The 14164-nt window shown below is 40.0% G+C and overlaps 1 protein-coding gene across 14 annotated transcripts in view, besides 1 other annotated feature; it reads right to left on the bottom strand.

Moving 5' to 3' along the window:
• The window catches only part of SLC1A3 (solute carrier family 1 member 3), a 91747-nt gene that overhangs the window by 72097 nt on the left and 5486 nt on the right, over window positions 1-14164 (bottom strand). For 8 of the 14 annotated variants that reach the window (NM_001438460.1, NM_001438461.1, NM_001438462.1 and 5 more), the window contains exons 1-2: window positions 9503-9632; window positions 7634-7909 (exon numbers count right to left, since the gene is read on the bottom strand). Coding sequence is in view for 11 of the 14 variants with exons in the window: in NM_001438458.1 (NP_001425387.1) it covers window positions 7634-7814 (181 nt within the window). In the remaining 3 variants the exon portion in view is untranslated. Of the gene's footprint in view, window positions 1-6938; window positions 7910-8926; window positions 9066-9223; window positions 9285-9502; window positions 9633-14164 lie in introns of those variants that run through there. The other 6 variants (NM_001438454.1, NM_001438459.1, NM_001438456.1 and 3 more) reach the window with 5 other exon arrangements.
• Window positions 9426-9525: an enhancer, noted in NCBI's record as "active region_22479". NCBI's record gives its function as "activates an Ori minimal core promoter by ATAC-STARR-seq in GM12878 lymphoblastoid cells {active_cell/tissue: GM12878}" and the evidence as "EXISTENCE:reporter gene assay evidence [ECO:0000049][PMID:35858748]".

Raw genomic sequence — 14164 nt, 5'->3', positions numbered from 1 at the left:
CTTGATAGCACTGAAGCTTGACATAAAACTCATCTTTTTTTTTTAGATGGAGTCTCTATCTGTCACCTAGGCTGGAGTGCAGTGGCACGATCTCAGTTCACTGCAACCTCCTCCTTCCCGGTTCAAGCAATTCTCTGCCTCAGCCTCCCGAGTAGCTGGGATTACAGGCAGCCGCCACCGCGCCTGGCTAATTTTTGTATTTTTAGTAGAGACCGGGTTTCACCATCTTGGCCAGGCTGGTCTTGAACTCCTGACGTAGTAATCCACCCGCCTCGGCCTCCCAAAGTGCTGGGATTACAGGCGTGAGCCACTGCACGCAGACAAAATTCATCATTTTTATACTCAGTGAGTATAGTCGCTAAACTCTGTGCACTGAAGTGCTCTGTGTGTTTTCTCAGCTCCCAGCAATGATGCAGCTCACCTAGCTGCCAGCAAATACTTGATGAATGATAGTATCCTAGTGTTCCATAAATATCAAGTACCTGGAATGTACAGCTTGGAAAAGACAGTGCTCAAACTCTGGTTGCCTCCTCTAAACAGGTTAGGCTCTTCACAATCTTATTTATTCCATAGCAAAAACAAAAGCCTGTGGTTTTCTTCCCCTAATTTATGAGAGATGGGCAGAGACTGAAGGGCAGAAGGGGCTTCTGCAAAGTGTGTCCTCACTGTGTTCTCAAACACTGGCTAGGAAACACTGATTATCAGACCCAGAGCCAGGGGCCCTCAAGAGGTCAAAGGGAGAGAAGGGGGCTATTTGTTAGACTGGAGAGACCAGCCAGAATGGGTTATCTAGGAAAAAGATTCTAGCAATGGTACAGTGTCATGCCCTGGAAACAAAACAAAGCAAAACAAAATAAAACAAAGCAAAACACCTCTGTTTATTATTCTATATATTCAGATATTTTAGAGGAAGATAAACTAGACTTAAAATGATAGAATTTTGGAGTTGGAAGCAGACATTAGTCCAAACTTACTTTGCTGATGAGAAAATGAGACCCAGAGATTTGTCTTACACCATAAAAATCGAGTTAGTTGATGGAGCCGGGCCTGTACCCAGGATCTTTAGACTCTCAATGCTTTCTTAGCTGCGTCCCAGACATTTGCAGATACAAATCAGAAGGAGGGTGGCCTGGTCATAGCTTACGTGCTACAGAGAGTGCAACAGAAAGTGCTTTGTAAACTGTACCACCACAAAAATGAAAGGTATTATTACTGAAGGTTAATTGTTCTGAACACACTTGCTTATTTGATTACCTACTTGAAAGAGAAATTTGAAATTGCCTGCTCTGTTTCCTCAATATCTGAAATGACAAGAAGAAAAAGAGCAAAATAGAATCCAGAGATACACTTAGAACAACATTAAGACTTCTACCCACTGCTTCAAAACAACCTTTCCCAACTCTCTTGGAAACCAGCCACATTTCTCTCAGGGTTCCAGCCAGCCCCCACTCTGACCAGAGTGGCAGTTAATGGGCAGTAGGCACCAAAGGGCTGGAGGAAAGAAGAAACCAGGGAGGTGGTGAACACTCAGATTGGCCCTGAGAGGTATGAACAAAAAATTCACTATTGAGTGTATTACAACACTTACTAAAACATTTCTTAGCACCTCCCTGTTTTCCTGAGAGAGGCGTCTACTGTCAGGCGCCCCCTCCACTAAGTAGTCTGCTGTGATAACGGCTGCCTGGGGATTACTTTCTGGTTCTGCTCAGGAGGCCAGATCGGTAAGGGACAGATAATGATGGTATCACTTACTCTGAGGCTTTCATTTCTGCATCTAAAAGCCCGTTACAACTATTAAGGCTCTTCCTACAACTCTCTTGGCTCTCTTCTCTAGCTAAGGAAATAGAAGCCACTTCTAAACCAAAACCAGGTGAGTATCTTCTGCCCCCCAGCCTCCCCAAATGCCAGGGTCTTATAGCTCTCTGGAAGATCAGCATCATCAAATCAGTGCATATGACAGCTTGAAGCCATATCAGAGATGTAAATAAAAGATGTGGGGTTTACAATGTCTATGGACACTTTACCTGGCAAGCACTTAGGGAAATCATTTAAGGTGATATGGCTTGTGCATAGCAGAACTGGGATATAAATCTTGGCAGACAGTTTTTATAATTATTCTGTTTTATACATGAAGAAACAGAGGCTCAGTTCCAGAACTGGACATAAACCTAGGCTGTCTGACTCCAGAGCACATAGCTCTGATCTCCACTATACCTTACTGGGCTACACCGTCACAGTAGGAGGCAGCGCCTGGAGTGCTTTTGGAGAAGGTGGGAGAGGGCTGGGAGGCATGTGTGCTGTGGGTACATGTGTTATCACTAGCCCTGACAATTTTTCTGTATTTTTTTTCCCCCAGGGGAGAAGATAAAGCACAGAGAAATCAGACCCTAGTTCTTATAACCTAACCCAGTGTGGCTTCTCCAGAGAAAAACTCTGCAAATCCATAGCTTCCTCCTCCTCCTCTCCCAGCCTCTGCTGAGTGAAAGCACAGCTGAGCTCTGGTAACACCAGGGGACTCAGGATCCCCCTACCCCCAGCTTCTTGAAGCTCCTCTCTCCCTGCTCATTTCCAAGAAGTGTTGAAGAAACCGTAAGTCTGAACCCAGTTATCTGTCCATCGTTGTTTGGATTGCTGTTGTTCAATCAGTGTGAAAATGCCCCGCTATCAGGGGTTCAGGAAGTTGAGAGGTGTGGGCGCCCGACTGTGCCTGCTCCACGAACTCAAGCAGTTGGCTATTGTGGTCCCACTACCAGGTCAGTTCAGTCCAGCAGCTGATAGCAAACCACATTGATTAACCTGCTTGGCTGACCTAACTGGCTTGGTCAGTTACGTCCAGGCACAGAACACCACTACAGCATTTCTGAAAGATTAGTGCTTTTAAGCATGAAGGAGAGGGCCCTAGAGTTACGGAAACTGTTCTGAGAATAGACTCACTTACAGAGTAGACTCATTTATGCAGTAGGATAGCCCGATTCACTGATCCTTATTCACTTGAAATCCAAAGACAGAACTGTCTTCGTTCAGTTTGGAGGTTGTAGGAATACCTTCTAAATCTTGATTTGCAGCAAGCTTCTTCCATTGTATATGCACCTCGGTGGCATCCCGCCCCACAAACTCAACAGGTCCAAACTGAACTTACCCTCGTGCACCCCCAAGGCCCCAGTCTTTCTCCTGTATCCTACCTTCAAATGTGGCATCATCAGCCACTCTGCCACCTAAACCAGAAAGCGGGCCATTGGTCTGCAGTCCACCTTCTCTCATTGAATCAATTGCCAAGTCTCACCAGTGGGCTTTCAGTTCGACCTCTCTTTTCCATCTCTTCCGTTGCTACCTCAGGCAGACCCTCAGCAAATTGCTGGAGTAAAGCCAGAATGGGTGTTATAGCACCCAGAACAGTGTGGTGAATGAGCACCTGGAGCCGGAATGGTGGATTTGAATCCCACTCAGTATTCATCAGCTGTGTGGTAAGGATTTGGGCTTCAGTTTTTTCATCTGTACAATGAGAGTAATAAAATTACCTCCCTCTCTGGGTTGTTGTGAGAATTAAATAAAGTTAATACACTTAAACACAATAGTGCTTTCCATACATTGTGAGTGTTAGCTATTACCATTATTATTATTATTATTATTATTTTTTTTTTCTTATTTGGAGACAGGGTCTCGCTCTGTCATCCAGGCTGGAGTGCAATGGCATGAACATGGCTCACTGCAGCCTCAACCTCCTGGGCTTAAGTGATCCTCCTCCCACTTCAGCCCCCCCAAGTAGCTGGGACTACAGACATGTACCACTACACCCGGATACTTTTTTAAAAAATGTTTTTGGAGAGATGAGAACTTACTATGTTACCCAGATTGATCTTGAACTCCTGGCTCAAGTGATCCTCCCTCCACTGAATTTTAGTGCAATTTAAATTCATTGCCAGAGTATTAGAGAACAGAGGGAAATGCTTTATAAAAATTTAGCCAGGATGATTCACCGATTTCTTTCAAATCCATATAAAGGAGAACTCAAATGTAAACTCTGTGAGTGTGTGTGTATGTGTGTGTGTGTGAGAGATCAATATCAGAGAAAGGAGAACTCAAATGTGAACTGTGCAAGGAGACCATCAGAAAAAGGAGAACTCAAATGCAAACTCTGTGTGTGTGTGTGTGCGTGTGTGTGTGTGTGCGCGTGCGCCAAGACCAACATCAGAGAAAGCTGCTAGTTTACTGTGTTTGTGAATGCCTTCAGGTAAAACTACCACTCAATTCTATGCATTCCTATTTATACATATCCCCCAACCTTGCAGCTGATCTTATGACCCATTTCTTTATATTGTTTGGCCTGAGATTTCATTTTTATTGTGCAATTCATTCCCTAGCCATGGAAAGAGTCAGTGTTCTGTGACTTGAACATGACAAAGACTTTTCCTTTCTTTCAGCTAGATGTCTGAGGTCACTCTAACACAACTTACCACAGTCCAAAGGGAGAAATTTCTTTCTGGAGGAAGAAAGACAATAACCACTCTTCCCAGTGTGGTTTTTGTCAGACGGATGTCCACAACAGCCCTGGCAGACCATTATCTAATGCTTTCATGACGGGCCCTCTAAGGGATGTGGAGCTTGGCACTGTGTTCTCTCGGATTGCTAACCGCTCTTGTTACATGAGCTTTTGTCATGGCATGGCACATTCAGACTTTGACATTGCTTAGAAATGACAGTAGAAATGACATAAAATTGTACAAATGGTTCTATGCTTATGCTTGTAGATGAATTTATATCAAAATATTTATAATTTTCTGCTTTATTTTGAATATATGGATTCACATGTCTTTATCATAATATTTTTCTAGTTTCCACTTCTACACATTAAATCATATACATTTTATTTCAAAAAGGCAAAAAAAAAAAACAGTCTAAACAAAAGATTCAACCCAGTACATAGGTTTTCCCAGTGATTTTTTTTTTTTTTTTTTTTACTAAAAGCAATAAAAACCTAGGAATTTGAAAACTAGGTAATAACTATAGCTCTTCTCATCTCTCATCTTGGGGGAAAATAATTATCTCCTTCTTCCTTGCTAGCATCTTTCTTGTTTTTTCTTATGCTACAGCAAATAAATTAAGAGTTGGTGTACAGACACATTCTTTTCCTATCTCTTAGGACTGGTAGACATGGAACCCAGTGACAAGCTAAATAGAGCCTTTATATTCACTGGGTTCTTGATGGAAGACACACTAACAGATAACTGAAGGGTTCTTCCTTCTCTCCTAAATCTGTTTGCTCCTAAGTTGTCTATTTGCTATTCCAAGTCTTTGATGTAGACTCAGTGGTCTCTTTGACTGTCAATGAGCTCTTTTTATGTGTTTCTTTGTTAGTGCCTTCTTCTTGCTGCTTCTGCCTCCTCAGTTTCCATTAGTAAAGCCAACCATGAGGGCACCCGGCCAACTTATCTACCCTAGCTCAGCCAACTCTTATTGCAATTCTCACAAATCTTAGGAAAGCCCTCACTGGGTGAGGAATGATCCCAGAACTCCTAGAGAAAAATAGACTAGGGATGATCCCAGAACTCCTAGAGAAAAACAGACTTTTAAATCCTGGCATTATCTTCTTTTTATTAGAGATGTTATTGCTTTGTACTAATGACTTAGGAACTTCCTTCTCCATCAATCTGTCTTCCATGTTCAAGTTTTATGAATTTCCATTCCTGTATTCTTGAATGGAAACATTTCTGTCTTAGAAATTCCACTCTTCTGGTGTTTACAACACCATTTTGAATGGTGTTTCTCCATCTTTTTCAAATATACTCCAGTATTACTGAGCTCTATTTATTATACGTATAGGATCATGAATTATAAATGAGTATGTGTTAAATGAATGAGAAGGAAGTGGCTTAATGGTCTATAGGAGAACTGTAAGTTTTCTTTTGAGGTAACCGGGTAAATCATGCAGTTAAATGACAATGCTGTGTGAATGCACTGCTAGCTAACTGGCCTTCATCAACTCATGAGGGTATTTCTCTTCCTGGCATCTCTTAAAAGATGTCAACTAGCAGCAGAGCAGAGGAAGAATAGAGTGGTTAAGAGAATGGCCTCCGGTGCTAGACTGAATTTGACTTCCAGCTCTAGAGTTTACTAGTGTTGTCACTTTGGGCAAATTGCTTGATCTCTCCACAGTCAGTTTCATCTACAAAATGAGGAAGATCATAGTAATCATACCTTCTCACTCGCTTCATAGGCTTGTTTGAGGATTAAGTGAGCTAATATAAACAAAACTCCTACAGAGTAGCTGGAATAGTACTATATAAATGTTTGCAATTATTATTATGCAGCTATTGCTTGGCTTGGCAATGACTTTGATTCAGAGTGACAAATGAGGCAAGCAGACTGTATTTTGCATTGACTTCCAGGACAATGATGTGGGACTGAAATATTTCACCCAGGAATATATTCAAGCCTGGAAACCTACTGTGGAAAGCCATTACTTCTCTGGGTCAGTTAGGACATGTTCTCTTTGAATATCTCTAAATTAATTGAACCATCATTAATCACCAGTGATTACTAATGGAAGACAATGATGTTAAAATGGGATGTATCTAAAATCTTGTGACAAACTCTCCTGCTATACTTCATTTGTCTACAATTTAAGAATTCAATTTTCTTGAAAAAAGTTATATTTACACACTACAGAATTTTCTTAATCTTTATTAAATCATTACCTCTTTAAAGTTGATGGAAATCTTGGCAAACTCCAAAGTAGAGATTAAAACGGTACTGAATGCCTCTTTTTTGGTGGCAAATTGGTAGGTTAAGTTGGAATATTTTTACAACCTGGCATTGGCGTATATGTTTGTCAATCTAAGGATTTCTGTATTGGTTTGGTCAAAAATTCCAAATAAGTAGGTTTTTTCAGCTATATTTTAAAGTAGGATCAATGCCACCCATAAGTAATAAACTATAACTTTTAAGATCAATAAACAAAACAAAACAATAATATTTTATTAGTACAGATTGCTGTCAACCCTGCTAAATTAGTAAGAGATGGAAATGATTCAAAAAAAGGTATAGCTGGTTATGGCAGGCTCTGCAAAGCAATGAATGAAAGAGATCTGTGTTAACATTTTCCCCAATCTACCTTTCCCAGTTGCTGGGTGAGAGAGTGCAAACACATAAAATATTCGGTCTCTGTGCCTAAGCGTTGATACTCAGCTTCAAGTCAGCACCAGTTAGAATATAATTACTATTTGGAACCAACATGTCATTTTAGGTGTACTAATTGTATAAATTAGTTTTAAGTGCAACTGACATTGTATATAATTACATTTTGGCCAAATCTAGCATGCTTGCTTTGTCATGCCTAATGATTAAATGATCACTTCCTTATCCTTACATGAAATGGGAAAATATTTTATTTATTTTTCTTCCTCACACAATTGATTTGCATAATGCCTAATGATGCCTAATGATGTGTTTACTATATATTGCTCCAAACAAGCCAAAACAGTCATTTTTATGGAGAAAAATCATCAAGTTCAGAGGAAAGCCTAGGCTACCATTTTGATACCTACAACTAGTTCATCTGATAATATTCCCCGGGCAGCCAGATGCCCCAGAGAAACAAGATACAGGTTTTTTTGTTTTTAATCAAATGACTCACCCACAATGACAGCGGTGACTGTGAGCAGCACAAAAGCATTCCGAAACAGGTAACTTTTAACATCCTCCTTTGTAATGTTCTGCACTTTCTTCTTGGCCAAAAGTGTGCGTTTACGGACTCCCTGCTGGAATCTCTCCATCCTGCCCCCCATCTTGGGCTCTTCTCCATTGCTTTTAGTCATATTTTACTTTTCTAGGAGGGTCTCTTCTTTGCACTTCAGTGTCTGGGAATCACCCACAGAAAGCCAAACCTCCTCTTTGGTATTAGAAAACACAACTAGAATGGGAGAAAAAGAGACATGAGTTATAGCCTCCAGGGGTGAGAAATCAGTGCTGCTCCACACCAGGCAAGCTCTTGGCAAATTGCATAATCTCAGCAGGAATCAAGGACTGGAGAGCCACAATACCAGACCTCAAGGTTGCAGTGTGCATATTTTAGTGGACCACGTGTGAGAAATGTGCATAAATTCGGAATATATTCTATTTTCTTTTTAAAAATCCGTCCTTCCCCTTCCAATGAGGCTATAAAAGGGTTCTTCAGAGCTAGATCTGACTGAGAACCCCTATTCCCACCCTCCCCCGCAGAACCCAGCTGATGCCTTGCACAACGTACACAATCAGTAAATGTCCAATTGAACTGAATGCACAGAAAGTATTCAATCATTACTTGACAAATTATGCTGTATACATGGTTGAAAGCATAACCAGGTCAATAAAAATAATTAAGATACTGATAGGTGGGAGTTGTCTCTGTTACATGCAGTAAAGTAACCAGCTATTTTCTTCATTAAGAAAAAAATATAATAATATCTACTAGTAAATATGGTCATAAAAAGAACACAAGTGCCCACAGTACATGGGAAATACATGTGACTATTTTACAGGGTAATTTTTTCATTTTTTTTCCATGAAATAAGCAAAGTGCTCTGGGCACATCTATAAATCATCTGAAATCACAATTCAGCTTCGTTTATCACAAGTAGAAGTATGAAGTAGTGTTTTTCTTTGTGACACACATGCTGGAATCTTCCGAGGAAACTATCGCTGACTTTTTAGCGTTTTAAAATTTAGGATTTCTAGAACAGATGAGATGAAACCAATTTTCATTCCAAACATTACAGCTTGTGGTTTCTGGTTTCTTTAAAGCACTCACGCTATTTAACTACATTTCAGTAAATCTCTTTCCTGGTGGAAATCAGCTGTTCTGAAAAATCAAGGGATTCCTCCTGGTGCTTTACAGGAGCTCTAATCCATAGCCCTTCCCATAATCAATCCGAGTGAAAACCAGCCGTACCATGGATGTGTGTCGCTGCCAACGCAAGCAGCCAGCGTGTGCGCCTGTGGGGGAGGTAACTGGAAACCAAAGGACTCCTCGCAAATGACTTCTCGCAATCCCAGTGCAGGAAAAAAAAAGACTTGTCTTAACAGTTTGCCTTTTAAATAAAATTGCAAGTTGGGGTCAGTGATACTAAGACTTCTAATTTGTTTAAGACTTCACACTGGATTAAATGCTTAGGGAGAAGTGAAGACCGGGAAATAGGAGAGACCAGATTTTTTTTTTTTTTAAACTAATAGCTCTGATTCCTCTTACCAGTCACTTTTAAGCAGATCCGCTCAACCTTGATCCTTTTCTAGATCTCGCGCCACAATCTGCCCCCAATCCACCCCGAATGACTCAACTCCGAATTAACAGCGGACCCGGCATAAACAGACACCACACTCTCACGACGTGAGATGACTAACAAGGACTTTATCTACCAAAATGGCTAGCCTTGATTCAGGCTACTCCTCTGCTTGGAAGGCAAAATACATCGGCAGAGAAGTGAAAGGAGAAATTAAACCCAGCAGGAACACAGAATGTGACACTTACCTTTTCTGATTTTGTAAGGGGTGGAAGATATCAAGCAGTAACGAGGTGAATTCCCCAGCAGGTACAACGGAGCAACAATCCGCAGCGCGCGTAAGCAGGCAGGCTAGCCCTGACAGTGTGCATGTGCTCTGAAACTGCAAGTTACTATCAGGGCAACTTAAGAAAAGGGGAGGAGTCTGTGCCCGGGAAAGGAGGAGTGGGGAATGGAAACCGCACAGGGAGGAGGGGGAAACCCCGAGGTTTCTGGAATATTGATTAATCTTGGCACACCAGAAGCAGGCTTGCTGGCTTTGTTTTGCTCCTTAGACCACTTTCACGCTTTGTCAGTTCACTGTCATTAGAAATGCAAAACCGGGACTAGGAAGAATTGAAAAATAAAGCGCACACAATCGGAAAGCTGAAAGTCTTGATTAGAACGTTTCAAAGACTTTTCTAAGGCTAAATTTAATTACCTCACATTATTGCATGTTTCCTCCCTTTCAGGGAAGACGAGGGTGTGCTCTTTAGCCTGGTTGTACAACTGTTACGAGAAAGTTCCTTTTTCGAATCGGGGAATTAACTGACGTTTCTTGGGAAGACACTGAATGCAGACAAGTATGTAGAAAAAAAATAATGCTTACTACGATTCTCTAAATTTGTCTAAAGTTAGGGACATGCCTCTATTTCAGCAGTTGAAACTTCAAAACTTCATTTTAACAAACCTAATTTAGCTCACACTGCCTGTGTTGCAAAGACGGAAAAGGTAGCAAATGTAAAGAGACTGGAATTTTTGCCAAACTAGAAAATGAAAAGCATTTTAAGACCAAGAGTGCAAAGTACACTTGAGATTTGGTGATTCAAAAGATAGGTTGCTGTTCAGATGTCTCCATTTTAAAGGATGCTAAATGTTCTCCCTACCACACACAACTTTTTTAGAGCTAAAAAATTCTCATTGCCTTGAGAAGGTAACTTGAGCTTCTAGTCCACTTTTCTTAAAAGAAAAATAAATTGTGAAAATAGATATTAGAAAATAAAAAAAAATTTTTTTGAGGTGACTTATTCCCAAAACTTAAATCTTCTTTAGAAGGAAGAAAATGGTTCATTAGAAACAAAAATTTATACCAGAATCACAGCCTGAGGTTTGGATTCTTGTTCACTGAATTTAATATTCCCCATGCAAAATATGCTCAATTCTTGGTCTATTATTCAACAAGAAAGTATGTCTTTTTTCCCCTCAATACAAATCTCTGGAGATCATAAAGAAATATCTCCTTTCACCCTCAACTGTATGTCCTTTTAAACAGCTACTGGTTGGAAAGCAATGGTGAATCATGTCAATGCTTTAAAATTACAAATCAGCAGCAATTATAACAGCTTTCTAACATGCTATCATTTTAAGAACTTACTGAAAGTACATGCTTTTGACATTCCCAGCCCTCAGTGACCCTTCCCTTCCTCTGATCTCCTAGGTCACTGAGCATCTATACTACATTGTTTAGCACTTAATTATACCATGTTTTGTACTGCATCCTTCTTTTTAAGCTCATGTTAAGTTTTGGTTTCTCAACTAAATTATAAGTTCTTTGAGGGCAAGAACTTGTCTTATACCTAATACAGAGTCAATATTAAGTAACTCTTTTTAAGTGGGTGGAATAATATTAGGATGTGAAACAAAACGCTTTTCAATCTTTTGTGTTAAAACACAATTACTAGTTTTTACATTGGTGCCTCTGGTTTAGGTGCATGGAGCCATTTCTCAATGCCATGACTACTTTTAAAAGCATTTATTTACTATACCAGGTCCTATCTGAGCCATGAGTTTAGGATTAATTTGCACACCCCCCCCCCCCACCGCTTTTTTTTTTTGGTGGAAATGACTTTGACTTGTATTGCAAGGGAACTCGAAAGAGAAATCTGATTTTAAATGGGGTTTCAAGCCCAGTGGCATTTCCATTTTTTGTTTTTATTTTTGTTAATAGGCAAGAAAAAGGGCTGGAAAACCACACTTTGGTTAGCATAGAGATGGGAAGACCCTGGTGCCCTTTCTTTTTCACTTTTTTTTTCCTCTCTAATCCCTAAAGCTTGGTTAAAAACCATTTCATTATTTCAGTTTGTGTAGACATTATGGGAGTCTGGTATTCTGTTGAGAAGGGAAGTAATTCACCACTGAAAGTTTTGTTGGCTGTAATAAAACCTAATGAGAAAATGAGATGCAAAGAGTCTCAGTTCAGAGTTCATCCAATTTTAGTCTGGAGGGAAACATTGGGAATTACTTCTTTAAGCACCACTTTCTCTTTCTGGAAAGCTATAGCAAAAGTCATGCCTGGGGGCCTCCTGGGTTTCCTCAACGCGTATTTCTACCTTTTCCCCTCTACTTTATAGTTAAGTCCCTTGAGCTTTAAAACATCTTTTTTTTTCCTTCTAGAAACACTAAATAAATGAAAGATCAAGAAATTATGAACAAGTCTCTGTATGCTGTATTTCATTTAAAGCTACTCAGGGTGGGAGACACAGAAGCTGGGGGATCATATTAATGTTAGTATTATCAAATGAAAAAAACACAAACACCAGCAGCAAATGCTGTTCCTGCTGAAAAAATCTGTCAAGATCTTTCTGTGAACATTGTGTGATGAAGTATGTTATCAGTAAATTCTTTCTTTGGGAAAAAATGTCAGTATAACAAGAAATAACCAAATCCAACCTGTCCTTAAAGGGAGCATTTATTGGTTTGAAGAACAAGAGATTACGGTAATAAGCACGTGCTGATCTTAGCATGGTACAGGCCAGTCAAACTTCACCATTCAAAATTAGGAAATTTTGGTTAATTGGATTTTTTTTTGAGCAACAAAATGGATTAGAAAACCTTTTAATCTTTTTTCAATATTTTCCAAGTTGATTTTTAATTTAATGATGGTTTTAAAATCATTCCTTGTTTAAATAGCTTGCATTTTAGGATCATCATGAATGTCAATTCTCCTCCTAGAATTTGGAAATTGTAGAATGCTAAGACAATGAACAGGACCTGACTTAACCCCAGAGTGTAACAGTGGATGTGTTAGAGGCAGTAGGTGTAGAAGAACTTGTGGTAGTTGTCTTCCATTTTGTTTTGATTTTTTTTTCTTCTTAAATATGAATGTAAAAAGCAGAACAACAAAAAAACCTGTGGTGAAGTCTGGTTAGTTGAATTTTTAAATAACTAGGTTTTATTTTAAAGTTATAGTCATATGAAACCTAAAAACATCCAACTACAGAGAGGTGAACTAAAATTAACTTTATCACATTCATTTATTCTTTCAACAAACATTGAGCAACCACTGTGTTCCAAATACCAGTTTCTTTCCTCAAGGAGTCCATAAACGCATCGTAATTATTAAGCAGTGGGCCAGGACAGGGCCCAACAGAAGGTTATGAGATCGCTGTGTGCTGAGGCCTATTTACCAGTTAGTATGTCAAAAAGACTGGTAGCAACTTAAGAGAAGGGGCTGTGCCTGGATCCACATTGTGTACACTGTTTCTAGCAGGTGCCTGCCCATAGCAGCCATCGTGTGGCATGGCAGGGAGCCAGTAGTGGTTCCTGCTGGAGAACAGGCCAGTAGGGGCCGAATTTACAACTTGAACTCCACTCCTAGTCAATGGGGAGCCAGCCACAGGATTTAAGCAGGGAAGTAATTTTCGTTTTAGGTAAAATGCAAAGCCTTGAAGTGACTAAGACTTGGGTTAGGAAGTCAAGGGGCAGGAGGAGCATTTACAAACTAGGTGAGTTCACATTCACACTGAAAAATACTGACCATTTGAGAATATCAAGGCCCTTGAAGGGGTCGGCTGACACTGAGCCAAGGCTGCCTCCTGTAGGTGGAGTGTGCACTCTCCAGCCCACTTGTCCTGCTCACTTCACTCAAGTTAGTTATCAGCATGTGGCTCTAGCAAGTTCTTCTGTTTTGACCTCTGATGGGGTTTCAGAAGAGGACTGAGCAAGGGCAGAAGCCTAGGGAACACCAACACAAAGGTGAAGACCAGCAAGAGGAACCCCCCCAAATAGATTCCCACGTGGCAAGAAATTACACCAACTGTTATTTTTCTCACAAGTGATCCAACAGGTGGACATAATGATGCCTTAAAAAACAACATGTTTTCTCCATTCTAAAGCTAAAGAGGGTCTGCTTTTTAATGAAGGCTTCACACATGTTATTGTTATCAATTATTATTTATATTGAAAAGTGACATTTTCCCCAGTTGCTCAACATGAGTCAAGACTTTGTAGAACCAAGAATATCCGTTTAGCTGGAAAAGATTATGTAGGTTGATTGGAATTGAAGCCTTCAGCAGACATGTTTACAGGGCTTTATAGTTTTTTAAGTACTTCTACACACATTATCTAATTTAATCTTCGTGATAATACTTTGAGGTCTATTCTACTCTATTATTACTGGTCCTGTAGACCCAGATGTTGGAGATCAGTAGGGATTGAGTAATATGCTGGGGATCATAGTCAGCGCTAAGACAAGAGTTCTTCATGTTGATTTCTCATCTTTTCCCAAAAGAAGCCCCCAGGAGTTTTTTTAAAGACAGATAGAAAAGAAAGGAAAGAACATTAAAAGGAAGGCCTACAATCTGTTATTTCTTCTGGGGAGTCAACTCTAATCTCCTCCCACTCCCCAAATCCAACGGGCTTGGTTGCCTTTC

This window comes from Homo sapiens, chromosome 5, assembly GCF_000001405.40.
Source record: "Homo sapiens chromosome 5, GRCh38.p14 Primary Assembly".
Classification (NCBI taxonomy): domain Eukaryota; kingdom Metazoa; phylum Chordata; class Mammalia; order Primates; family Hominidae; genus Homo; species Homo sapiens.
This window is presented reverse-complemented; position numbering and strand designations above follow the sequence as displayed.